At 43.2% G+C, this 27,832-nt stretch overlaps 5 non-coding genes across 5 annotated transcripts, besides 1 other annotated feature; all 5 read left to right on the top strand.

Moving 5' to 3' along the window:
* Positions 1-4,975: 4,975 nt before the first annotated feature.
* On the top strand, positions 4,976-5,049 carry TRF-GAA4-1 (tRNA-Phe (anticodon GAA) 4-1). Its single transcript has one exon. It is a non-coding gene; the product is annotated as a tRNA-Phe (tRNA).
* A 6,009-nt stretch (positions 5,050-11,058) lies between these two features.
* On the top strand, positions 11,059-11,130 carry TRA-TGC5-1 (tRNA-Ala (anticodon TGC) 5-1). Its single transcript has one exon. It is a non-coding gene; the product is annotated as a tRNA-Ala (tRNA).
* Positions 15,278-15,778: an enhancer, noted in NCBI's record as "H3K4me1 hESC enhancer chr6:28780364-28780864 (GRCh37/hg19 assembly coordinates)". NCBI's record gives its function as "activates a minimal SCP1, AML or CMV promoter by ChIP-STARR-seq in primed H9 embryonic stem cells {active_cell/tissue: H9 hESC(primed)}" and the evidence as "EXISTENCE:reporter gene assay evidence [ECO:0000049][PMID:30033119]".
* Positions 16,222-16,293, top strand: TRA-AGC6-1 (tRNA-Ala (anticodon AGC) 6-1). The gene has a single exon. It is a non-coding gene; the product is annotated as a tRNA-Ala (tRNA).
* A 4,166-nt stretch (positions 16,294-20,459) lies between these two features.
* TRF-GAA3-1 (tRNA-Phe (anticodon GAA) 3-1) lies at positions 20,460-20,532 on the top strand. The gene has a single exon. It is a non-coding gene; the product is annotated as a tRNA-Phe (tRNA).
* A 4,962-nt stretch (positions 20,533-25,494) lies between these two features.
* On the top strand, positions 25,495-25,565 carry TRA-TGC7-1 (tRNA-Ala (anticodon TGC) 7-1). The gene has a single exon. It is a non-coding gene; the product is annotated as a tRNA-Ala (tRNA).
* The last annotated feature ends 2,267 nt before the right edge of the window (positions 25,566-27,832 follow it).

Below are 27,832 nucleotides of genomic sequence, written 5' to 3'. Positions count from 1 at the left end.
ACTTATTGTCATCATTAATGCTCAAAATGTGTCAGATTTGGCCATTGAGATCCCTTTCAAGCTGGCTTCTCTGTCCTTTCAAATCATACCCATCAATTCTGAGCACCTACATTCTGGCACAGCAAGATATCTTAGGTTCATCTTGTAGTTTCCCTGGCACAGTCCCGGAGTCAGTGTAGTTGACACCAGTAGCTACTTTCTATCAGTATCGCTGGTTCCTTTTAGTAGGGAGTGGTATTTGAAAATCAATATATAGAATTATCTTTGCTCATTGCATCTGAGGTATCATTTCTTCTAGGCCCAATTAGCAGAGAGATCTGTGGAGAAATTTTACAATTAAGTGTATAATTTCATACTGATGCCTCTAATTCCCATCATCACCAATAGGACTATTCTTTACCTTCCTCCTTTCCCACAGTGAGAGCCTGGTTCCAACAACATACAGGCGCACACATGCTCATTTTTCCAATCCTAAAATTCACACAAAATATCAGAATTGCTATTGCCTTAGCATTACAGAAAATATTCCTGATACATAGAGTTTAAGATATGCTTGCTGTTCTTTTTCTTTTTACAATGAGAACAATGTATAAACCATTTTCTTAGGTCAATTCTTTCCTGAATTTTCAATGTGGTTATGTTATACTTTTGAAATGCTCTATTTGGAAATAGATTTGCTGATCCCAAATCAGGAACAGTGTTTTTCTTTTTACTGTTAACGTACCTTTTCTTGATGTAACCGTGCCTAAGAGAGGGGGCACTTAGATATAGGGAAATCATAAACAGTGGAATTGGAAACACATGGTAATTGTCTTTATGACATAGAGCACATACTCAGATAATGGTGGTCACCAGTTTTCCAAATACACAGGAGGTATGAGGGGGTATAGCTCAGTGGTAGAGAGTGTACTTATCATGCACGAGGTCTTGGGCTGATTCCCCAGTACCTCCAGAGGTCCATTTTCTTCCCTGTGGCACTGTAAGAAGAGCTCCATGACCTTCCCCAGCTGTCCAGAATGTCCTGCCTTGTCAAGATATTTGGGTTGACCTCTACATCTCTCTCTCATACAGAGAGGTAATTCGTGTTCATTCACTTAAGGTTATTTGCTGCTTACGATTATCCACCTATTCTTTCTAAGCAGTCCCAGCAGTCACTAAGGTGAACCACGCACTATGGAAGCAAGTACTACTCCTGGCCCTCCAGCCTATTTCTAGTTGTAAATGAAATAATCAGAAACCATAGAACCACGTGGCGCAAGTCCTTTCCTGCGTGTGGTGTTTGTTTGTTTGTTTGTTTGTTTGTTTGAGACAGAGTTTCACTCTTGTTGCCCAGGCTGGAGTGCAATAGCACAATCTTGGCTCACCACAACCTCTGCCTCCCGGATTCAAGTGATTCTCCTGCCTCAGCCTCCTGAGTAGCTGGGATTACAACCATGCACCACCATGCCTGGCTAATTTTGTATTTTTAGTAGAGATGGGGGTTTCTCCCTGTTGGTCAGGCTAGTCTAGAACTCCCGACCTCAGGTGATCTGCCCACCTCAGACTTCCAAAGTGCTGGGATTACAGGCGTGTGCTACCATGCTTGGCCTTGTATTTCTTCTTCTAACCCAGGTTGCAGAAGCCCTACAAGCTTTCACTAAAAGATTTCACTGCCAGTGGCTGAGGACCTGATGTGCTGGTGGTCACTTTTTCCATTAGAAACCCACAAACTCTAAAACTTAATGTAAACTATTTAACTACAAGAATACAATAAATGGCAAATATAATGACAAATGAGAAAAAGATCACAGTCACTTCAGCTGACATTTGGTAGGGGGAACATATTTCTCTGGGTCCTCTAAGGAAGTTTCTGCCCTGAGATGCAAGCACTCGGAACTCCAGGAACCAAGATCAGTATAGGGTAAAGCTCATTTCTTTGTTTTCCATCAATAAAAATAATGAATGAACTTTTATTCTCCCAATCCCAATGGATCCTTTTCTACCTGCTGCACTTATTCTCCAGGAATAACCTCTTTCTAAGCTACTGAACAACCCACACCTCCAGATTAGAGCTCTTTGCACAGTTTCTGATGCTGGTATCACAGAGCTAAGCAGAATCCACGCGGGGATACTCTGCAAGCATCTCAATACTATCTCGTTAAAAGGAAATCGCCTTCTATTTTCAGCTCTATTTCATTTAAACAAAAGATAAAAAATTAAGTTACTCAACACCCAGAAGGCAGAAAAACGACCTCTCTCTGCATCTGCAGAAGCCAAGCAAGCTAGTGGGGCTTCCGTATGCATCCTTTGTTTTACTCATTTTCCAAACGCTGTAATGGTCCACCACCTACCAGGTGGTCACAAGCCATCGCTAAAGTCAATTTTGAGGTCAACCCACTCAACTTGTGAGGGATTCACCTATATTACCTCTGCACCTGTAATAAGACTAAGAAGACGGTGGCTGCACATGTAGTTAACACCGATTGTACCGCGACTTCGCCTTTCCGCAGCCTTTGTACCAACCTGCAGAGCCCTTTTGAGCCAAGAGCTGGACTTGGGGAGTAAAGAAGCTCATTGTAAACGCCAGGAGGAATTTCTTCAGGGTGAAGTTGACTTCCAATCGGCTTCATTCTAAAGGAAACATGTGGAGCAAACAAACGGGAACTTTCTTTCTCATCTTCTGCATTTCAAGCCTAATAAAATTAGACGTTTCCACTGTCCTGCTCAGTCTCGAAGCTGTCGGCAGATTCCGCTTTTAACTCTCAACACAGACACTCAGGAAATCGGGAAATCCCTGCAGCTCCCTCAGAAGCTATCAGTATCAGCGGTTCCCGAACCCGCAAACAAAAAACGCAACATCACGTGCTCCTCCAAAGAGCCTAGCCTGTCTATCGAGCGATGGAAAGAGCGGCGAGGCGCTCTCGCAGCCGTGGCAGTCTGGACGAAAAGAACCAGGTCCCTTTCCTGGTCTAGCCTACCTCCCTACCTCTCTTCCCTCATATCCAGAAGAAGCGACGGAGAGGTGAGTGCTTAGACTCACTCTAACATCCCGTCCATCCAAATCCTAATAATCTTGAGGATGCTTTTCCTTGTCCTCTACCCCTCTCCCTTTTTATGTTTCTTTCTCCACTTCACCGCACCCCGCCTCTTCCCTCTCTCCGCCAGCTGGCCCTCGGCTCCTCTCCACCTTCCCTCCCGTTTACTTCTGAATGAACTTTTCACAATAGTGCAGTGCACTCCTAGAACCATTTACACACATTCTAAGCACTGTGCTGAGATTTATATGTAGCCACTGTTTTAATTTCCACATCACTTTCCTTTTTTTTTTTTTCCTTCTCTATATGCTCAACTTCAAACGTTTTCTGCAGCATAGGCTGAGGCTGCGTCCAGATGGGGAGAGACGTCAGGCGGCGGGGATAAACCTGGAGGAATGTTGTTTCCTGTCTGGGGAGGTTCGGGCCTTACAAGAGGGAGAGAAAAAAAGAAAAAAGCCTGTAAGAGAATCTAAAATTTTTGAGGAAATTATTCAAAAAATATTTTAATTGACCCTCCCAACAAATTTTGGCTAAAAACAGAAAGCCTGGACTCTCTCGGAATAGGAGACTGAGTTTGAAAACTGTCCAGACATAGGGACGGTTTTATTAAAATTCAATTTGCAAGTCGTTGTTGGCTGTAGCTATTTCCTCATTCCAGAGAGGATTGTTTCTGAAATTCGGTAAACTCTGAAATTGTTTCTAAGTTATTTAACAAGAGGAGTCCAATGTTTTCACACTTTTGAAGTGATATAAGAATTTCTAGGCTGAGGTGGGAGAACGGATTGAGCCTGGAGGCGAAAGTTGCAATGAGAGGAGATTGCCACTGCACTCCAGGCTGGCAGAGTGGGACCCTGTCTCTCTCTCTCTCTCTCTCACTCGCTGGAATCTTCTCTCTCTCTCTCTCTCTATATATATATATAGAGAGAGAGATACATGTATATTTTATATTATATATAATATCTATATCAACAATATATTTACATTTTTAATTTATATATATTTCATATTTATATGTGTGTGTATATATATATATATATATATATATATATATATATATATATATATAGCGTGGTCACACTAAAATAAACATATGCTTGCCTTTTCCACCCCTGGCTCTCTGTACCACCTAAGGTGGATGTGTTAGCACTAGATCAGTAAAAGGAAGGAAACAGAGAAAAAGAATTGGCTCGCTCAGGATTTCTTCAGTCGGAAGCTATAAACCTACTACCAGGTTAACGTGTTCAATAATCTTCTGTTCCTTTTTGCCATGTCATTGAAGAGCAAGACAGAAAACAAAACAAAAAAGAGCCAAAAGGAGAGAAAAGGAAAAGTCTAGATAATTTCATTTTAGTTTTAGATAGTTTCCTTTAGTTTTCTGAGCGGTGTTTCCAAGGTGACCAAGCATGGGAGCATCTATCTTGCTGATTTGACCTATTCCTCGCCTTTTTTTTTTTTTTTTTTTTTTTAGAGACAGAGTCTCGCTGTCGCCCAGGCTGGAGTGCAGTGGCGCGATCTCGGCTCACTGCAGCCTCGAACTCCCTGGTTCAAGCGATTCTCCTGCCTCAGCCTCCGAAGTAGCTGAAACTACAGGCGTGCGCCACCTCTCCTGGCTAATTTTTATATTTCTTGTAAAGAAGGGATTTCACCATGTTGGCCAGGCTGGTCTTGAACTCCTGACCTCAAGTGATCCACCCTCCACGGCTTCGCAAAATGCTGAGATTACAGGCGTGAGCCACCGTGCCCGGCCGTCTCGTCTTTTCTTTCCCGTCTTTTGCCGGGGAAAATTGGATCCTATTTTCATACATAAATTACAGCAGAATTTATATTTTTGGATTGGGAGGAGGTGAGTGAATGACGGGTGATATTGAAGACAACCGAATTAGGCGTTGGAAGATACACTGACCTTACAAATTGCAGTTTTTATATTTTGAAGAAATGACCAACGGGACAGCTCCAGAGTAGCCGAAATAGCTCAGTTGGGAGAGCGTTAGACCGAAGATCTTAAAGGTCCCTGGTTCAATCCCGGGTTTCGGCAGATACCTTTTGGTTGTTGCATAATTGTCTTTCCTTTATACAACACTTGCACACCAATCCCAGAGGTCTATATATAACTCCCATTTTTTGCTTTTTGAAAATTCCATAAAGGTAATGTATATATATATGTATGTATATTTGTATCACTCTCTCCACTGAAGTCTTCCATGAAGTGTTAACTGATGGTATGTAAATTATTTAAAATCTTAAATCTAGAAAGTTACTAATTTTAAAACCTAAGAAATTCCAATATGCTATAGACTGTGGCAATTACAATTCATTTCTGATTTGATGTTATTTATGTGTGTTGGGCAGGGGTGTTTTAAATCACAAGAACTATGAAGAAACCTGTAGAAGAACTATTATGCTGTATGAGTGTATATATGTGGTAGTGGTATATTCAAGAAACATTTTGCAATTCCAAAAACCTCGGTTTGGCCGGGCGCAGTGGCTCAGGCCTGTAATCCCAGCACTTTGGGAGGCCGAAGCGGGTGGATCACGAGGTCAGGAGATCGAGACCACGGTGAAACCCCCGTCTCTACTAAAAGTACAAAAAAATTAGTGGGGCGCGGTGGCGGGCGCCTGTAGTCTCAGCTACTCAGGAGGCTGAGGCAGGAGAATGGCGTGAACCCGGGAGGCGGAGCTTGCAGTGAGCTGAGATCGCACCACTGCAATCCAGCCTGGGTGACAGAGCGACACTCCGTCTCAAAAAAAAAAAAAGAAAGAAACACCTCGGTTTGTATCTTGAGTCAACTCCATAGCTCTGCAGTTAAACTGCTGGGAAAATAACTTTCTTTTTTTTGAGACGGAGTCTCGCTCTGTCGCCCAGGCTGTAGTGCAGTGGCACGATCTCGGCTTACTGCAAGCGCCGCCTCCCGGGTCCACGCCATTCTCCTGCCTCAGGCTCCCGAGTAGCTGGGACTACAGGCGCCCACCACCACGCCCAGCTAATTTTTTGTATTTTTAGTAGAGACGGGGTTTCACCATGTTAGCTGGGATGGTCTCGATCTACTGACCTCGTGATCCACCCACCTCGGCCTCCCAAAGTGCTGGGATTACAGTGTGAACCACCGCGCCCGGCCCTGTTTTGTTTTTTTGAGGCAGGGTCTCACTCTGTCACCCATGCTGGAGTGCAGTGGTATGATCACAGCTCACTGCAGCCTCAGCCTCCCTGGACTCAAGCGATCCTCCCATGTCAGCCTCCTGGGTAGCTGAGACTACAGAAATGCAACAACAAGCCTGGCTTTCTCTCTCTCTCTTTTGTACTTTTTTTTTGTAGAAACTGGGTTTCACCATGTTCCCCCAGCTGTTCTTGAAATCCTGGGCTCAAGCAACCTGCCCGCTTCTGCCTCCCTACGTGCTGGGATTACAGGTGGGAACCACCGCACCAGTCCTAATTACAGGAATATTTTTAAGTTTCTTACTGACAGGACATTTCTTTAGCCTGGAAACCTTGCCTAGAATTTCCAAATCTTAAGTTATTTCCTCATTGGTATCCAGGAAAGAACAAAAATAAGTCTTTCTTTCTTTTTTCTTTTTTTTTTTTTTTTTGAGACAGAATCTTGCTATGTTACCCATGCTAGAGTGCAGTGGAACGATCTCAGCTCACTGCAACCTCCGCCTCCCCGGCACAAGCAATTCTCCTGCTGCAGCCTCCCAAGCAGCTGGGATTACAGGCGTCCACCACCATGCCTGACTAATTTTTGTATTTTTAGTAAAGACGGGATTTCACCATGTTGGCCAGCCTGGTCTCCAACTCCTGACCTCGTGATCTACCTGCCTCGGCCTCCCAAAGTGCTGGGATTATAGATGTGAGCCACTGCGTCCAGTCAAAAATAAGTATTTCTAAATTAATTATTCTGTCAAGACTCAGGTGGATGTGCCCCATTTTCCTTTTTTTTACTTCAACTCCTCTCTTGAAATTTTGTGTTGGGATAATGGGCCTTTTTTGTCCTGTTTTTTTTTTTTTTTTTTTTTGTCTGATTTTTTTTGGTCATTTTTAATATCTTTTCTTCTTTCAAATTGGTGTTTCATTTTCAGTGTTATTTTCCCCTAACACCTGCATACTGTGTGAGGAGACAATAAACTACAGTACTCCAACATCAGAACTGCATCAAATTGTGAAAGGAAAATTGGTACCAAATGAGAGACCAACCTCAGGGTGGGGACATTGACTGTACAGGAACTAGGAATCAGATACTTTACCCTTTAAGTCACTGAGGCTTTCTCAACTCAGAAGCCTGTGTTTTATTTCATTAAGAAATATTTGATAGGCTGGGCGTGGTGGCTCACGCCTGTAATCTCAGCACTTTGGGAGGCTGAGGCGGGTAGATCACCTGAGATCAGAAGTTTAAGACCTGCCTGGCCAACATGGTGATACCCTGTCACTACTAAAAATACAAAATAATAATAATAACAATAATAATAATAATAATAATAAATTAGCTGGGTGTGGTGGTGGATGCCTGTAATCCCAGCTACTCGAGAGGCTGAGGCAGGAGAATCCCTTGAACCCGGGAAGCGGAGGTTGCAGTGAGCCAAGATCGCAACATTGCACTCCACCCTAGGCAACAAGAGCAAGACTCTGTCTTAAAAAAAGAAAAAAAAAAGGAAACATTTGATTAGACAAATGGCAGGATTGAATGTTTTCTTGCCTAGCACAGTAGTGATTCCTTTACATTTTGTTGAAATGAAACGCCTAGGGTAATTCTAAGCATGATTCGTCTCTCATTCAATACCTTAAAAATGAGGCTAATAATGATTATGTAAAATGGGATGTTGCAAAGGTCTAAGGAGATCATGCATGGAAATGCATTTAGTCAAGTCCACTCGCGGCATGAAACCTAATTACTGGCAGACCATGCTCCATGTCCTTTGGCTCTGGGATTCTCCCAGAACAGCACCTAAATAGATAACATCGTCTCTAGACAATGCTGTCCAATCAAAAGATACTACAAGTCTTCTGCTTTAGCTTCTGGGATAAAAAGAATTTTTAAAAAAGTTAATACAAATCTTAAATGAGAGCCACTTCTGTAGTTTTAAATTTTCTAGTAGTCACATTTAAAAAATAAACAGGCAATACTTATTTTATATAATTTTTTAACAATTTCAACTTTTAGATAGGCAAGGTGGGTCATACCTGTAATCCCAGCCCTTTGGGAGGCCGAGGTGCGCGGAACACCTGAGGTCAGGGGTTCAAGACCAACCTGACCAATATGGTGAAACCCTGTCTCTAATAAAAATACAAAAATTAGCTGGGTGTGGTGGTGCATGCCTGTAATTTCAGCTACTTGGGAGTCTGAGATAGGAGAATCACTTGAAACCTGGAGGAGGAGTTTGCAGTGAGCCCAGATAGCGCCACTGTACTCTAGCCTGAGAGACAGAGCAAGACTCTGTCTCAAAATAATAATACTAATAATAATAATTTCAACTTTTATTTTAGATTCAGGGGGTACATGTCCAGGTTTGTTACATGGGTATAGTGCATGATGCTGGGGTTGGGGTGAGATTAATCCCATCACCTGGGTGGTGAACATAGTATCCAATAGTTAGCTTTTCAAGCCTTTCCCCTTCTCGCCTCCCCCTCTAGTAGTCCCCAGTGTCTATTGTTTCCATCTTTTATGTCCAGTTTTACTAATATATGTAAATCACCTTGCATGTCCAAAATATTATTTTAACAAGTAATCAATCTTAAAATTATCAGTGAGACATTTTATGTTTAAAAAATGATATTACATCTGGCCAGGTGCGGCGGCCCATGCCTGTAATCCCAGCACTTTGGGAGGCCGAGGAGGGCAGATGACAAGGTCAGGAGTTTGGGACCAGCCTGGCCAGCATGGTGAAACCCTGTCTCTACTAAAAAAAAAAAAAAAGAAAAAGAAAAATTGCCAGGCATGGTGGTGCGCGCCTGTAGTCCCAGTTACTCAGGAGGCTGAGGCAGGAGAATGGATTGAACCCAACAGGTGGAGGTTGCTGTGAGCCAAGATTGCACCACTGCACTCCAGGTTAGGTGGCAGAGCGAGACTCCATGAAAAAAAAATTACATCTTTGAAATCTGGTATATATTTCTCACTTTCAACACATCTTAACTTAGACTAGGCAATTTTCAGTACTCAATACCCAATGTGGCTAATGGTAACCATATTGGACAGTGCAGATTTAAACATATACTTTATATATTTTTAGGTTTTCGAAATTGAGTGTGTATGACAGGGTGTTCTGTCTTCAAAATTAAATGTTTAATTTCTCAGAAGAATGCTATGTTAAATGAGCTCATCCTACAGATTTCACACAAAAAACATGTTTCAATCGTGTTGCTGGTAGATAGTCTGAAGATAGCTACAGATATTTAATTATTTAAAATTCTCCCATTTTTATGAGGCAACCTTCTTATTATGAATTCCCAAGAATCCAATAGACAGCCAAGTTTCTCTGGGTGTAACACAACATAAAGATGAAGGAGAGTTTCTGCAAACTGTCCTAATATTGCTTTTACAGCATCAAAGAGCCAAGATAATCCTTCCCATCATTTACATGCACACACACAGACACAGTCAGGCAGGCAAACACACATGAATACACATCAATTTTGTCTATAACAATTCTCTAGTTTCTCCTTCAGTGAAGTCTATCACTCAGTGTTTCCTATTTTTATTCTAGAAATCCCATCAGCCAACTGAAAAGCCAAGTCTGACATACAACTTGCAATTTGGCAATTTTGAAAGCCATCAATGTTACTTTATTAACATTGGCAAAGGCTCTTATATAGGCAAACCAGAATGAGAAAGAGTTAATAGTCACTAGAAATTTGGTGCTGAGAAATAGGTTTTCTTCTCATCTTCTTATGTAATTCAAAGGACACACGATAAGTCCCAAGATTCAAGAACTTTTGAATTCAAGAACAAACAAACTTGTTTGTTCACTACAAATATCACGAATAGGTTTGTAATTTCCATATCTCAAAGTACACTTTTTTAGTCTTTATCCATCCTCCATGTAATGTGTCTACTACTATTAATGCTTACAAATCCCAGGCTAGAGACAGAGTTAATTGCCTGAATTCTCTGAGAAACATCCTCACAAGTGTGCCCCACAGATACTTTAAATTGAGTATGAGCCAAACTAACTCATCTTCTCCATCTTCCAGTCTATCTCTCATTCCTAAAAGAGCTGTTAAAACCTCTCCCCTTTTCTGCACCTGCTGTGTTTGTTTTTCTAAAGCATTCTTCAACCCTGTTTGTATTTATCTTCGGTCTTATTCTCATAATTCAACCCTTCTCTCCATCCCCATAGCTGTTTTTCATTCACGCCTTATGAATCCCTTCCCCTCCCCTCCCCTCTTCTCCCCTCGTCTCCCCTCTTCTCCCCCTTTCCCTCCCCTCCCCTTCCCTTCTCTCTCTGTTGCCCAGGCTGGAGGACAGTGGCACAGTCATAGCTCCCTACAACAACTAACTCCCGAGCTCAAGCGATCCTCGTGCCTCAGCCTCTAGAGTAGCTGGGAGTACAGGCGTAAGACACCACGCCAGCTAAGGACCCTTATGAAAAAATGCTAAGTGCATCGCTGTCAGGTTTTCTTCTGATTGTGGCTTTCCTCCATCAAATCTTATCTTTAATATTCCGATTGAGCAAACAACAATTATGAAGCGTTTTAGGCAGGAAAAGGCTGAATTTCAATGGCTTTGTGTCGTATCTGGGAGAAATTAAAAGAAACGAAAACCTGAACTTGATTCTTGCCAAGCATAATAGAAGGAGACCCTAAGAACTCAACGTCTTGAGGCCACAATGGAAACTTCTTGTGGTTATTATCTGACACTTTTCTAATCTTTCGTTTTTCGTTTCAAGTCCTACACAGTATTCTAAAGAATCTGTATCCCCCATTAGTACCAAGTATCTCCTGCTCAGAACAGCTCTCCGCACTCCATAATACTGACCACTACTACCAGCATGCTCACGGAGTCTCAGGAAATGAAAGTTACCTCCTGAAAATTATTACAAAGAGACCTTATAGTGAGGGGGTGTAGCTCAGTGGTAGAGCGCATGCTTTGCATGTATGAGGCCTCGGGTTCGATCCCCGACACCTCCAAGCGATGGTTTTGCTCTGGTAGTTTTCAAGCGACAGACTTCTGCCTCCTCACGTTTTTCTATCCTATTTCTGCACATATAGACAGTAAAAGTGTAGCCCAATGTTCAGCCTTGAACTATCTCCACTGGTTATGCTGTGAACCTCGACATCACCAAAGGCGATTGCCACAGCAGAAGGGAGACAAACAAGAAATGAGGGGGAAAGAAGAACGGGATCGCAACACGGTCTCTTGAACCCAAACAAAAGCGTGCACATTCACAGGCGGCTCGCTTTCACTCCCATTTTGTACTATGATTAATGAGACGCAAAGACAAAGGAGAAGGGAGAAAAGCGCCCTGAAGGCATCTATTTTTTTTTAAGTTATTTTTGTTTTCTGGGCCAAAGAACAGAGCGAAAGCCTCTGTTCACTGATTTCTCCACCAGTCTCTCCCTGTCTACCTGCGCGGAGAACACAGCTACCAGTGTGATCCAGTACTGAGACAAGGGCTGTGGCTCTCCAGTCGCTTGAGATGGGAGTGGCAGGGCGCTGGATAACCACACGAAGACTGTCGGGGAATTAGAGGCCTTCAACGTGCGAGAAGCAGAAACCAATACGGATCAACATTCCCTACTGATGTTCCATAAGACTGATTTGTATTCCTGTATTTCCTCAGTCACTCCATTTTCCTCTTTACAATAAAATATTGCCTGGGAACTTCTGGTAAGAGCAAACGGAGGCCCCATATGAAAAACTAGGAAAAGGTTTTCTGTCACAATGCAAAATACATGCAGACTAAAAGATAAGTAGATCGCAGGTGTGTTGGGCACTTCCTGCCTTGGGAAAAAACAAACAAACATTTCATGTTCTTTCTCGATCCACCTGATTACATCGCTTTTTTTGGAGAGGGAACTCCCAAGAAATCCTATGCACTCATGAAACCTTTTATGGTTTCCAACGGTGTATGGTTTCAAAACTGCTGTTCTCTCTGTACATATTTCCTATTGAATTAAAGTGTCTTTGAGAGGCAAGAGAGTATGATGTTTGTTCCTAGTCCACCAGCCTATCAGGCTGGCATGATAGATACACTCTATGAGGCTAACATGACCTTACTTGATTCTTTTGTCCAGTGAGAATATCTATAACCAGCATCCAGGAGGGATACTGTCTGATGAAACCTGCTTAGCTGAGGACTGGCTGTGTGTGTGCCTCCAGACCAATCATATGTTTGTTTTGAGACACATTTTTTGGAGGAAGGTAATACACACATGCCATGTATTTTCTTTTTGTTTCATACTTTTTCTTCTTTAATTTCCTGGTATCCATTGGTTCTCTCCAGGCAAACAGTGGCATGTTAGCCACAGTGGACACTGCATAGGAGAGCAAGGGGTGGAGGATTAGGGTGCTGCAATCAGAATAATAAATTTCAGGCCCAACCTTAGGTCTATTGAATCAGAACTGCTGAGTATGGATGGGGCTCAGCCTCCTGTGTTTGAATAAGCCTTCAAGTGACTCTGATGCTAAAGTTTGTGAAGCACTGCTCTAGAAGTTTCAGGAAGTCCCAGGGTCAGGCACCTGCTGAGGAGGAAGAGTTGGTCCTGGGGTTCCCTGCCTATTCTCAATCAAAAACACAAACCTAGGAAAGCCAGTGAGGTTTGTATTCGTCTTATGTCAGGGATGGGGTTGAATTTACCATTTCTTTGACCCTTTGAATATTTATGCAACTTTTCAGGTCACACACAACAGACTGATTTTCCTGTGGAGGAACTCACAGGAATTCTCTTGAACCAGGAGACTCTTTTGAGCTGAAATACCTGGAGCTCTCTCAAGCTATTTGGGCCTTGCAATTTGAAACCCAGGCTTGGACGATTCTAAGCCCTGTGGCAGAGAGTAATCATTTTCTCTCCACCCTCAGGGTGAGGACTCATCCTCAGGGTTGGGAGTGACTGCTGTCTCTCCAGCCCCCACCAAGTCTACCAATGTTCTGGTTGTTAAAATCCAGCATATGCATGAAATGTAATAAAAGTATCTTTGCAGCAGTAAGTAGAGAGTTCCTCGTTGTGAGCAGACCATTCCTCTTCCTCCTTGGAAAAAATTCTGTATCCACTTTCTACATTTTCACGTTTGTCTCTTCCTCTACACACACCTCAGCTGCTGCTTTATTTACACTTGTCTCATGTAAGGATCTTCTTTTATGTGGTAACCTTGGCTTTTCCCACTGTTCTTGCTTCCACGAGTTGGATGCAGGCAATATAGGAGCCGACTGCAAAATGTAGGTGATATTGTCCAGAAAGAAACCCGAATTTCAGAGGCTTGCTGATGTGGAAGAAAGCCAAGATATTAGACTCATAGAGCTTCACTCTGCTAGGTAGGTTGAAATCTGGACACCCTGAATTCCATAAAAACAAGGTAGTACTCCTTCTGAAAACCCTCGTAAGTTTAAAATATACTGGGACTGCCTTACCTTTCTTGTTTTTCATGCCTTGTATTCCAAGCTTGACAAGCTATAACAAAAACAAAAGCAAAGAACACTCTTCCTATCTATAACAAAGGACCCTATGCTTCAGCGGGAGGGTCTCTCTTCCCGGTTAAACACTCTCCCCCTCGCTAACAGTAGGGATTGGAAATAGGCGGCTTCTCTGTCGTTTCCTTGGAAGCCACTAATACCACCCGCCTGTACCAAAACTCAAGGGTACCCGTTCTCCCCAGTGCCCCAGCCAGTAAAGGAGCTGCGAGGCGTTCTCAACGCCGCGACTGCCTTGAGCAAAACGAGGGAGATCTTGCGAGGAAAGTGTTTTCAGCTCACTTCTCCAACAGGGAATGAGCCCTCTCGCTTATCGCGGACAGCGAGGAAAAGCAGCGGAGATGGGCTTCCGGGCTGCACTCCGCCTTCCGGCCCACCCAGATCCTCTGGCAGCCTCGGGCGCTCGCCCACTTCGCTTCTCCTCCGCCTTTGCCGCCGCCGCCGCAGGTGCGCACCCCACCGCGTCCCTGCTTCCCTCTCGAACTCTTTTCGAAGGTGGTCCTCGTTCTCCTCTCCATCCATCGTTTCTTGAGTGTCAGAACTGGAGCCATAGCGTCCCCAAGACGAAATCCATGCTGGGTTTCGCGACCATGGTGCTGGCCCAGGCGCTGGCAGGGTAAGGACGGGCAGCGACCCACGCTCCTGGGTCTTCGTTTCTAAGAGCTGGGAATTCCACTTTCTCACCTCCTCACCTGCACCTAAATCCCCCGAGACGGTACTGACCCTTCTGTTTTAGTATCCATCTACGTTACTCTTGATAGAAGAGTACAGCCCTTGAAGGAAGAGGGAAAAGAAATTTGAGAAGGGAGAATTTAGAAAAACCTTTTTAGTTTGAAATTATTTCAAACCTACAGAAAAGTTGCAAAAATGATACAAAGAACTGCCACACACAAGTTACTCATATTTACCAATTCCCGATATTTTGCCACAATGATTCTCCTCTCTCTTTACGGCTAAACACACACACACACTATTATTTTTCTCATGTACTTTATTATTTATTTATTTATTGAGACAGGTCTTGCCCTGTCGTCCAGGCTGGAGTGCAGTGGTGCGATCTCGGCTCACTGCAACCTCCGCCTCCCGGGTTCATGCGATTCTCCTACCTCTGCTTCCCAAGTAGTTGGGATTAGAGGCATGAGCCACCATGCCAGGCCATTTTTTGTATTTTTAGTAGAGACGGGACTTCACCATGTTGGCCAGGCGGGTCTGGAACTCCTAACCTCTGGTGATCCGCCCGCCTCGGTCTCCCAAAGTGCTGGGTTTACAGGCGTGAGCCACCCCGGAGCTTCTGTGTTCTTTTAAATCATCCCCATCATTCTGGCACAGCAAGATATTTTAGGTTCATCTTGTAGTTTCCCTGGCACAGTCCTGGAGTCAGTGTAGTTGACACTAGTAGCTACTTTCTATTAGTATCTCTGGTTCCTTTTAGTAGAGAATGGTATTTGAAAATCAAAATATAGAGTCATCTTGCTCATTGTTTCTAAGGTATTTCTTCCAGGCTCAGTTAGCAGACAGATCTGTAGGGAAAATGTACTATTTTTATTTTTTGAGACAGAGTCTTAGTCGCCCAGGCTGGAGTGCGGTGGTGCGATCTTGGCTCGCTGCAACGTCCGCCTCCCGAATTCAAGCGATTATCCTGCCTCAGCCTCCCGAATAGCTGGGACTACAGGGGCGGCCACCACACCCGTCAAATTTTTGTATTTTTAGGAGAAACGGCGTTTTGCCATGTTGGCCAGGCTGTTCTCGATTTCTGACCTGAAGCGATCCACACGTCTCAACCTCCCAAAGTGCTGAGACTACAAGCGTGAGCCACCGCGCCCGGCCTATACAATTACATATGTATAATTTCATACTGATGCCTCCAATTCCCATCAACACCAACAGGACTATTCTTTACCTGCTTTCTCTTACAGTGACAGCCTGTTTCCAACAACACACGCGCTCACACACACTCATTTTCCCAATCCTAAAATTCACACAAAATCTCAGAATTCCTGCAGCCTTAGCTCTAAAAAAAAAACCCTCATACATAGAGTTTAAGATTTGTTTCCTCTTCTTTTTGTACTTACAATTAGAACAACGAACTTTGTCAAGCATTTTCTTAAATCAGTTATTTCAATGGGGTTATGTTATTCTTTCACAATGCAGTTTTAATTTGCCTCTATTTGTGTTGAATTTTAGGGTATTTTCACACACACTTGAGTCAGTTTTATTTTTTGACCATGTGAGACTAACACGCTTCCAAGAGTCAAAAGAATACAGAACATTATAATCAGAAAATTTGCAAGAGAATGTTGTATGCCAGGACACACTCAAATGATTGAATGCAAGTATGCTCCAGGAAATCTAACGCGATGGGGAGCCCACCGTGGGGTGAGTTGATCTTGGACTGACCACAAATCAGGAACAGTGCCTTTATTTGTACTATTAAGCTACCTTTCTTTTGGTGTAGCAGGGCCTAAGAGAGGAAACACTTCCTGTAGGAAATTGAGAGTGGAATTGAAAACATAAAGATTATCATGACACAGAGCCCAGACTCAGACAATAATAGTCATCAAAATATTCTCTAAAAGGCAAGTCTTCCAGAGGGGGTATAGCTCAGCGGTAGAGCGCGTGCTTAGCATGCACGAGGTCCTGGGTTCAATCCCCAATACCTCCAGGTTTTGTTTTCTTCCCCGGGCACTAGTGAGAAGCGGTCCATGATATTCCCCAACTTTAAATTTTTCTGTCTGTCAAGGTGAATTGTGTTGGCCTCTGCATTTCTCTCTCATACACAGAGGTGACTCGTGTTTATTCCTTTGAATCTATTTGCTGCTTAGGATTATCCACTTATATTTTCTAAGCAGTCCACCAATCACTAACATGAACCACGCACGAGGGAAGCAAGCAGTATTCCTGGCCATGCAACCAATTTCTAGTTGTAAATGAAATCATCAGAAACCATAGAACTGTGTGGCCCAAGTCTGATTTCAGATCAGAAGCTAAAAAGGCTCACGTCCTTTTCTGTTTCTTCTTCTAACTCCCTCTAACCAGGTTGAGAAGCCCTACAAGCTTTCACTAAAAGATTACACTGCCGGTGGTTGATGATTTGATGTGCTGGTGGTCACTTTTTCCATTAGAGACCCACATAGTTTGAAACTTAAACTATTTAACTACAAACACAAGGCAAATGATGAAAAGATAGCAGTCACCTCAGCTGAAATTTGGTGGAAGTAAAAAGTACTTCTCTGGGTCCTCAAGGAAGTTTCTGGTCTGAGATGCAAATACTCTGAACTCCAGGAAACAAGATCAGTATAGGAGAAAGCTCATTTTGTTGTTTTTCATAAATAAAAGTAATGAACGTTTATTCTCCCAAGCCCAACGGATCCTTTTCTACCTGATTGTACTTACTCTCCAGAAATAACCTCCTTCTAAGCTAGGGAACAACCCATACCTCCAGATTAGAGAGCTCTTTGTAGAGTTTCTGATTCTGGTATTACAGTACTAAGCAGAAATCCACAGGGAAATACTCTGCAAGCATGTTAATACTAACTTGTTAAAAGAAAATCTGCTTTTATTTTCATCTTTATTTCATGCCAACAAAGCAAAAAAAAAAATAAGTTACTAAACACCCAGAAGGCAGAAAAGTGACCTCTATCCATCTGCAGGAGCCAAGCAAGCGTGTGGGCTTCCGTATGCATCCTTTCTTTTACTCACTTTCTAAATGCTGTAACGGTCCACCATCTACCAGGTGGTCACAAGTCATCGCTAAACTCAATCTGAGGTCAGCCCACACGACTTGTGAGTGGTTCACTTATATTGCCTCTGCACCTGTAACAGGACTAAGAAGACGGTGGCTGCACACGTAGTTAACACCGATTGTACCTCGACTTCGCCTTTCTGCAACAGCTGTGACGCTCTGCAGGTCCTGAGCCAAGAGCTGGACGTTAGGAGTAAAGGAGCTCGTTGCAAACGCCAGGAAGAGTTTCTTTAGGGTGAAGTTGGCTTTCGATTGGCTTTATTCTAGGAGATATATATGGAGCAAAGAAACGGTAACTTTTTCTCATCTTTTGCATTTTAAGCAAAAACTAATAAAATTAGATGTTTCCGCCGTCATGCTCAGTCTCTTAGCTGCCGGCAGATCCCGCTTCTAACTCTCAACACGGGCACTTAGGAAGCCAGGCAATCCCTGAAGCTCCCTCAGAAGCTACGGTATCAGCGGTTCCTGAGGCGCAAACCAAAACCCAACATCACTCCAAAGAGCTCAGCCCGTCTGTCGAGCGACGGAAATAGCGGAGAGGCGCTCTTGAAGCCGTGACAGCCTGGGCGAAACGAACCAGGTCTCCTTCCTGGTCCAGCCTACCTCCCTAGGGACACCTCTCTTCCCTCACGGCCAGAGGAAGCGACGGAGAGATGTGGCGCTTAGATTCACTCTACGGTCCCGTCCATCCAAGTCCGAATCATCTTAAGGATGCTTTTCCTTGCCCTCTATCTCTCTCCCATTTGTGTTTTTCTTCCTCCACTTCACGGCACCCCTCCTTTTCCCTCTCTCCGCCAGCTGGCGCTCAGCTCCTCTCCACCTTCCCTCCCATTTACTTCTGAATGAACTTTTCACAATAGTGCAGCGCAGTCCTAGAACCATTTACACACATTTTAAGCACTGTGTTGAGATTTATATGTAGCTGCTGTTTTAATTTCCGCATCACGTTCCATTTTTTTCCTCTCTGTATGTTCAACTTTTAACATTTCTGCAGCATAGGCTGAGGCTGCGCCCAGCTGGGGAGAGACGTGAGGCGGAGGGGATAAACCCAGAGGAATGTTGTTTCCTGTCTGAGAAGGCTCGGACCTTACAAGCGGGAGGACAAGACAAAGACTGAAAGCGAACATAATTTTATAAATTTTATTTATTTAATTTTTAGGAAATCATCTAATCATCCAGAAACAATTTTTTGGGGGGGAAACGAAGTTTCGCTCTTGTTGCCCAGGCTGGAGCGCAGTGGTGCGATCTCGGGTCACTGCAACCTCTGCTTCCCGGGTTCAAGCGATTCTCCTGCCTCAGCCTCCTGAGTAGCTGGGATTATAGGCGCCCGCCACCATGCCTGGCTAATTTATGTGCATTTAGTAGAGACGGGGTTTCACCATGTTGACTAGGCTGGTCTCGAACTTCTGACCTCAGGTGATCCACCCGCCTCTGCCTCCCAAAGTGCTGGGATTACAGGCGTGAGCCACCACTCCTGGCTTCAAGAACAATTTCTTATCGACCCTTCCATCAAATTTTGGCTAAAACTGAAAGCCTTGACTCTTTCAGAATAGGAGACTCAGTTTGAAAACTGTCCAGACATAGAGAGGGTTTTATTAAAATTCAGTTTGCAAGTAATTATTGGCCATAGCAATTCCCTCATTCCAGAGAGAACTGTTTCTGAAATTCTGTAAACGTCTTAAATTGTTCTTAAGTTATTTATCAAGAGGAGTCCAATGTCTTGACACTTTTGAATTGATATAAAACTTCTAGGCTGAGGTGGAAGAACTGATTGAGCCAGGAGGTGAAAGTTGCAGTGAGAGGAGATTGCCACTGCACTCCAGTCTGGCAGAGTGGGACACTGTCAAAATAAAAATAAATAAATACAATCTCATGATTACAGATGTGTATGTAAAAAGCAATTTTTTTTTTTTTTTTTGAGATGGAGTCTTGCTCTGTCACCCAGGCTGGAGTGTAGTGGTGTGATCTCGGCTCACTGCAACCTCTGCCTCCTGGGTTCAAGAGATTCTGTAGCTGGGACTACAGGGGCGCGCCTCGACGCGGGGCTAATTTTTGTGTTTTCAGTAGAGACAACATGGGGTTTCACTATGTTGGACAGGCTGGTCTCCAACTCCTGACCTCAGGCGATCTGCTCGCCTTGGCCTCCCAAAGTGCTGGGATTACAGGCGTGAGCCACTGCACCCAGCTGGAAAAAAAAAAACAATTCTTATGCATCAATGTGCAGACCACAATTCTCTGAACTCCAAGGAATAGGCCGGGAACGGTGGCTCAAGCCTGTAATCCTAGCACTTTGGGAGGCCGAGGCGAGACCAGACTGATCAACATGGTGAAACTTCGTCTCTACTAATAATACAAAAAAATTAGCTGGGCGTGGTGGGGCGCGCCTGTAATCCCACCTACTGGAAGAGACTGAGTCAGGAGAATCGCTTGAACCTGAAAGACGGAGGTTGCACTAAGTCCAGATCGTGCCACTGCACTCCAGCCTGGGAGACAGAGCGGGACTCCATCTCAAAACAAAGAAACAAAGAAACAAACAAACAAACATATTATACTTTCCATTTTCACTCCCTGGGTCTCCGTACCACCCAAGGTGGATGTGTGAGCACAAGACTGGTAAAAGGAAGAAAATAGAAAAAAAGAACTACCTCGCTCAGGATGTCTTTTTTCGGAAGCTATAAGCCCACTACCGTGTTAAAGTGTCCACTAATCTTCTGTTCCTTTATGACATGCCATTGAAGAGCAAGCCAGAAAAAGAAAATCCGAAAAAAGAGAAAAGGAAATGCCTACATAATTTCATTTTGAATTCCTTAGTTTTCTGAGCAGTGTTTTATACGGTGACCAAGCATGGGAGTATCTTCCTCATTTGACCTATTCCTCGCCTTTTCTTTCCCATCTTTTGCTGGGGAAAATTGGATCCTATTTCACACATAAATTGCAGCAGAACTTATATTTCTTGGGTGGAGGGGAGGTGAGTGAATGACGGGTGATATTGAAGACAACAGAATTAGGCGTTGGAAGATACACTGACCCTACAAATGGCAGTTTCTGTATTTTGAAGAAATGACAAAAGCAGTAGGATCACGGTGGCCGAGATAGCTCAGTTGGGAGAGCGTTAGACTGAAGATCTAAAGGTCCCTGGTTCAATCCCGGGTTTCGGCAGTTGCATTTTGGTTTTAGCATAATTGTCACTCCTTCAACACAGCGCTTGCGCACCAATCCCAGAGGTCTATATATAACTCCAGGTGTTTGTGGTTTTTTTGTTTCTTTTTTCTTTTTTCTTTTTTTTGGCTGTTTTCTGAAAATTCCATAAAGGTAATGTATACACACACACACACACACACACACACACACACACATCTATATATATATATTTACACACAAACACATATATATATATATATTTGTAACACTCTCTCCACTGAAGACTTCCATGAAGTGTTAACTGACAGGACGTAAATTATTTAAAGTCTTAAACCTAGCAAGTTATTACTTTTAAAACCTAAGAAATTCCAATATGCTATATGCTGTGGCACTTACAATTCATTTCTGATCTGATGTTATTTATGTGTGTTGGGCGGGGGTGTTTTTAAATCACAAGAAATGTGAAGAAACCTGTAGAAGAAGAACTATTATACTGTATGAGTGTATATATGTGGTGGTGGTATATTCAAGAAACATTTTGCAATTAGAAAAAACCGGGTTTGTACCTTGAGTCAACTCCATAGCTCCGCAGTTAAACTGCTGGAAAAATAACTTTTGCTTTGTTTTGTTTTTCTGAGGCAGGGTCTCACTCTGTCACCCATGCTGGAATGCAGTGGTATGATCACAGCTCACTGCAGCCTCAGCCTCCCTGGACTCAAGCGATCCTCCTATGTCAACCTCCTGAGTAGCTGAGACTACAGAAATGCAACAACAAGCCTGGCTTTTTGTTTGTTTGTTTGTTTTTTGGTTTTGTTTTTTTTTTAATTTTTTTGGTAGAGACTGGGTTTCACCATGTTGCCCTGGCTCTTCTGGAAATCCTGGCTCACCTCTGCCTCTCACCATGCTGGGATTACAGGCTTGAGCCACCACACCAGGCCTAATTACAGGAATATTCTAAGTTTTCTTACTGACAGGAAGCCTGGCACCCTTGTCCAGAATTTCCAAATCTTAACTAATTTCTGTGTTGGAATCCAGGAAAGAACAAAAACAAGTACTTGTATATGAATTATTCTGTCAGACATTCATGAGGGGCCTTAGAATACTGAAAATGAAAGCAAATGGGCAGCAAAGTCATCAAGATTCAGGTGCATGTGCCTCATTTTCCCTTTTCCACTTCAACTTCTCTGTTGAAATACTGTGTTGGGGGTAATGGGTCTTTTTTTTCCCTCCTTTTTTCTTTCAAATTGCTGTTTCATTTTGAGAGTTATTTTCCCCTAACTCCTGCATACTGTGTGAGGAGACTAAACAATCTACAGTACTTCAACATCAGAACTGCAGCAAGTTGAAAAAGGAAAATTAGTACCAAATGAGAAGAAACCTCAGGGTGAGGACACTGACTCTACAGAAACTGTAAATCAGATACTTTATCCTTTAGGTCACTGAGGCTTTCTCAACTCAGAAGCTTGTGTTTCATTTCATTAAGAAATATTTGATTAGTCAAATGGTAGCACTGAATGTTTTCTTGCCTAACACGGTAATGATTCCTTTACATTCTGTTGAAAGGGAAGGTCTAGGGTAATTCCAAGCATGATTTGTCTTCTATTCAATAGCTTAAAAATGTAGCTAATAATAATTATGTTAAATTGGATGTTGTAAAGATCTAAGGAGATTATGCATAGAAATGCATTCTGTCGAGAACACTCAAGGCATGAAACTTAATTACTGGGAGACCATGCTCCATGTTCTCTGGCTCTGGGAATCTCCCAGAACAGCATTTAAAGAGATAACATCATCTCTAGACAATGCTGTCCAATTAAAAGATAATACAAGTCTTCTACTTTATCTTCCGGAATAAAAATAATTAAAAAAACACAAGTCATAAATGCGAGTCACTTTTGTAGTTCTAAATTTTCTAGTAGTCACATTAAAAAAAACAGGCAATATTTATTCTATATCTTTTTTTTTTTTTTTTTTTTTTTTTTTTGTAGATGGAGTTTCGCTCTTGTTGCCCAGGCTGGAGTGCAATGGCGCGATCTCGGCTCACCGCAACCTCTGCCTCCAGGGTTCAAGCGATTCTCCTGCCGCCTCAGCTTCCCGAGTAGCTGGGATTACAGGCACGCGCCACCACCCCAGCTAATTTTTTTTTTGTGTGTGTGACGGAGTCTCGCTCTGTCGCCCAGGCTGGAGTGCAGTGGCGCGCGCTGCAAGCTCCGCCTCCCGGGTTCACGCCATTCTCCTGCCTCAGCCTCCCGAGTAGCTGGGACTACAGGCGCCTGCCACCACGCCTGGCTAATTTTTTGTATTTTTTAGTAGAATTGGGGTTTCACCGTGTTAACCAGGATGGTCTCGATCTCCTGACCCCGTGATACGCCCGCCTCGGCCTCCCAAAGTGCTGGGATTACATGCGTGAGACCCCGCGCCCGGCCCCAATTTTGTACTTTTAGTAGATACGAGGTTTCTCCATGTTGGTCAGGCTGGTCTTGAACTCCCGATCTCAGGTGATCCGCCCACCTCGGTCTCCCAAAGTGCTGGTATTACAGGCGTGAGCCACCGAGCCCGGTCTCTATATTATTTTAAAAATAATTTCAACTTTTATGTTAGATTCAGGGGGTACATGTGCAGGATTCTTACATGGGTATATTGCATGATGCTGGGGTTGGGGTGGGATTAATCCTGTCACCCGGGTAGTGAGCATAGTATCCAATAGTTAGCTTTTCAAGCCTTTCCCCTTCCCAGCTACTCCCTAGTAGTCCCCGATGTTTACTGTTTCCGTCTTTTATGTCCAGTTTTAATAATATACGTAAATGGCCTTGTATAACAACATTATTTTAAGTAATCCATCTTAAAATTATAAGTGAGTTATTTTATATTAAAAATGATATTGCATCTTTGAAATCTGGTATATATTTTATACTTACAACACATCTTACCTTGGACTGGGCAATTTCAAGCATTCAATAGCCAATGTGGCTAATGGTAACCATATTGGAAAGTGCAGATTTAAACAGGTACTTTATATATTTTTAGGTTTTCAGAACTGAGTATGTATGACGTGAGGGTGTTCTGTCTTCAAAATTAAATGTTTAATTCCTCAGAAGAATGCTGTGATAAATAAGCTCATCCTACACATTATACGCAAAAAAAAAAGTGTTTCAATCATGTTGTTGGTAGATAGCCTGAAGATAGATATGGATATTTAATTATTTTAAATTCCCCCCTTTCATGTGGCAAACAAAAAAGCATATCTTCTTATTATGAATTCCCAAGAATCTGATAGACAGCCAGGTTTCTCTGGCTGTGACATGACATAAGGATGAAGGAGTGTTTCTGCAAACTGTCCTAATATTGCTTTTACAGCATCAAAGAGTCAAGATAATCCTCCCAAGCATTTACATGCACACACAAACAGACACAGACAGGCAGACACGCACACACATGAATACATATGAATTTTGTGTGTAACGCTTCTCTAGTCTCTCATTCAGTGAAACCTATTACTCAGTTTCCTATTTTTATTCTAGAAATCCCGTCAGCCAACTGAAAAGCCAAGTCTGCCATACAACTTGCAATCTGCCAATTTTAAAATGGATCAATGTTATTTTATTAACATTGGCAAAGGCTCATATATGGGCAAACCAGAATGAGAAAGAGTTAATCGTCACCAGAAATTTGGTTCCGAGAAATGGGTTTTCTTCTCATCTTCTTATATAGTTCAAAGAATCCAGTCTCACCGTGATAAGTCCCAAGATTCGAGAACTAGTTAGAAGAAAACTTGTTTGTTGCCTACAAATATCACGAATAGGTTTGTAATTTCCATATCTCAAAGTACACTTTTTAGTCTTTATCCACCTCCATGTAATGTGTCTACTACTACTAATGCTTACAAACCCCAGGCTGGAGACGGAGTTAATTGCCTGAGTTCTCTGTGTAATATCCTCACAGGCGTGCCCCACAGATATTTTAAATTTAGCATGAGCCAAACTAACTCATCTTCTCCATCTTTCAATCTTTCTCCCATTCCTGAAAGAGTTGTTAAAACCTCCCCTTTTCTGTGCCTGCTTGTCTTTGGCAATAGCATGTTTGTTTTTCTGAACTACTCTTCAATCCTGTTTCTATTTATCTTTCGTCTTACTCTCATAATTCAACCCTCATCTCCACCCCCAAAGCTGGTTTTCATTTATGCCTTATGAATTCCCTCCCCTCACCTCCCGTCTTCTTCTCTCTCTCTCTCCTTTCCTTCCTTCCCTTCCTCCCTCTTTCTCCTTCCTTCCTTCCTTTCTCCCTTCCTTCCCCCCTTCCTTCCCTCTTTCCCTCCCTCCGTCCCTCACTCCCACTTTCTCTTGCTTGCTTGCTTGCTTGCTTTTCTCACTCCATTGTCCGGGCTCGAGGGTAGTGGTGCAATCATAGCTCCCTACAATCGCTAACTCCCAAGTTCAAGCGATCCTCGTGCCTCAGCCTCTGGAGTTGTGAGTACAGGAGTAAGACACCACGCCAGCTAAGGACCCCTGTGAAAAAATGTTGAGTGCACCGCTCTCAGGTTTTCTTCTGATCATGGCTTTCCTCTATCAAATCTTACCTTTGATATTCCGACTGAGCAAACAACAATTATGAAGCGTTTTAGGCAGGAAAAGGCTGAATTTCAATGGCTTTGTGTTATATCTGGAAGAAATCAAAAGAAACGAAAATCAGAACTTGATTCTTGCCAAGCATAATAGAAGCAGACCCTAAGAACTCAACGTCTTCAGGCCACAAAGGAAACTTCTTGTGGTTATTATCTGACACTTTTCTAATCTTTCGTTTTTCGTTTCAAGTCCTACACAGTATTCTAAAGAATCTGTATCCCCCATTAGTACCAAGTATCTCCTGCTCAGAGTAGCTCTCCACGCTCTATGGTACTGACCACTATTACCAGCATGCTCACGGAGTCTCAGAAAATGAAAGTTACCTCCTGAAAATTATTACAAATGGGTGTTATAGTAAGGGGGTGTAGCTCAGTGGTAGAGCGCATGCTTTGCATGTATGAGGCCTCGGTTCGATCCCCGACACCTCCAAGTGATGGTTTCCCTCTGGCAGTTCTCAAGCGACAGACCTCTGCCTCCTCACATTTTTCTATTCTATTTCTGCACATATAGTAAGTAAAAATGTACTCCAATGCATTGCCTTGAACTATCTCCAACCTCTATGCTGTGAGCCTCAACATCACATAAGGCGATTGCGACAGCAGAAGGAAGACAAAAAAGTAACGAGGGGGAAAGAACAGGATCGCAACAGTGGTCTCCTGACCCAAACAAAAGCATGAACATTCACAGGCGGCTTGCGTTCGCTCCCATTTTGTTTTGTTTTGTTTTGTTTTTGTTTGTTTGTTTTGTTTTTTGAGACGGAGTTTTGCTCTCGTTGCCCAGGCTAGAGTGCAGTCGCACCACCTCGGCTCACTGCAACCTCCGCCTTCCGGTTTCAAGAGATTCTCCTGCCTCAGCCTCCCAAGTAGCTGGGATTACAGGCGCCCGCCACCACGCCCAGCTAATTTTTTTGTATTTTTAGTAGAGACGGGGTTTCACCATGTTAGTCAGGCTGGTCTTGAACTGCCGACCTCGTGAGCCACCCGCCTCGGCCTCCCAAAGTGCTGGGATTACAGGCGTGAGCCACCGCGCCCGGCCTTCCATTTTGTACTATGATTAAAGAGACGCAAAGACCAAGAAGAGAGAAAAATGCCAGTGGGCATCTTTTTTTTTTTAAGTTATTTTTGTTTTCTGGGCCAAAGAACAGAGCGAAAGCATCTGTCCACTCATTTCTACACCAGTCTCTCCCTGTCAACCTACATAGGGACATAAGTGCGATCCAATACTGAGACAAGGACTGCTGTGGCTCTCTAGCCACTTGAGATAGGAGTGGCAGGACGCTGGACGGCCAAACGAAGACTGTCCGGGAATTAGAGGCCTTCAACATGCAAGAAGCAAAAACTAATACGGATCAACATTCCCTACTGATATTCCATAAGACTGATTCATATTCATATTCCTGCATTTCCTCAGTCACTGTAATATTGCCTGGGAACTTCTGGTAACAGCAAACAGAGGCCCATAAGAAAAAACCAGGGAAAGGTTTTCTGTCACAATGGAAAATACATGCAGAGTAAAAGGTAAGTAGATCGCAATTGTGTGGGCGCTTTCTGCCTTGGAAAAAACCAAACAAACATTTCATGTTCTTTCTCGATCCATCTGATTACAACTGCTTTTTTTGAAAAGGGAACTCCCAAGAAATTCTATGCACTCATGGTACCTGTTAAAGGTTTCCAATGGTATACAGTTTCAAAACTGCTGTTCTCTCTGTACATATTTATTTATTTATTGTTGAATTAAAGTGTCTTTGAGAGACAAGAAACTACAATGTTTATTCCCAGTCCACCAGCCTAACACTCTATCAGGCTGGCATGTCTTTACTTCTTGATTCTTTTGTCCAGTGAAAGTATCTATAACTAGCATCCAGGAGGGATACGGTCTAGTGAAACCTGCTTAGCTGAGGACTGGCTGTGTGTGTGCCCCCAGGCCAATCACATGTTTGTTTTGAGATACATTTTTTGGAGGAAGGTAATACCCACGTGTCATGTATTTTCTTTGTGTTTCATACTTTTTCTTTTTTAATTTCCTGGCATCTATTGGTTCTCTCCAGGCAAACAGCGGCATGTCAGCCACAGCGGACACTGCACAGGAGAGCAAGGGGTGGGGAATTAGGGTGCTGCAAGCAGAATGCTAAATTCCAGGCCTAACCTCAGATCTATTGAATCAGAACTGCTGAGCATGGGGCTCAGCCTCTTGTGTTTGAATAAGCCCTCAAGTGACTCTGATGCTAAAGTTTGAGAAGCACTGTTCTAGAAGTTTAAGAAGGAGGTCCCAGGATCAGGTGGCTGCTGAGGGGGAAGATTTTTTCCTGGGGTTCCTTGCCTATTCTCAATCAAAAACTTAAACCACGTAGGACAGCCAGTGGGGTTTGTAGTTGCATTATGTCAGGGGTGGGGTTGGATTTACCATTTCTTTTTTGTTTGTTTTTGTTTTGTTTTGTTCTGTTTTTGTGAGAGGGAGTCTTGCTCTGTCACCCAGGCTGAAGTGCAGTGGTGCAATCTTGGCTCACTGCAACCTCCGCCTATTGAGTTCAAGCGATTCTCCTGCCTCAGTCTCCTGAGTAGCTGGGATCACAGGCGCCTGCCACCATGCCCAGCTAATTTTTGTTTTTTAGTAGAGACGGGGTTTTGACATATTGGTCAGGCTGGTCTCAAACTCCTGACCTCAAGTGATCTACCCACCTCGGCCTCCCAAAGTGC

Source organism: Homo sapiens, chromosome 6 (assembly GCF_000001405.40).
Source record: "Homo sapiens chromosome 6, GRCh38.p14 Primary Assembly".
NCBI classification, from domain to species: domain Eukaryota; kingdom Metazoa; phylum Chordata; class Mammalia; order Primates; family Hominidae; genus Homo; species Homo sapiens.
This window is presented reverse-complemented; position numbering and strand designations above follow the sequence as displayed.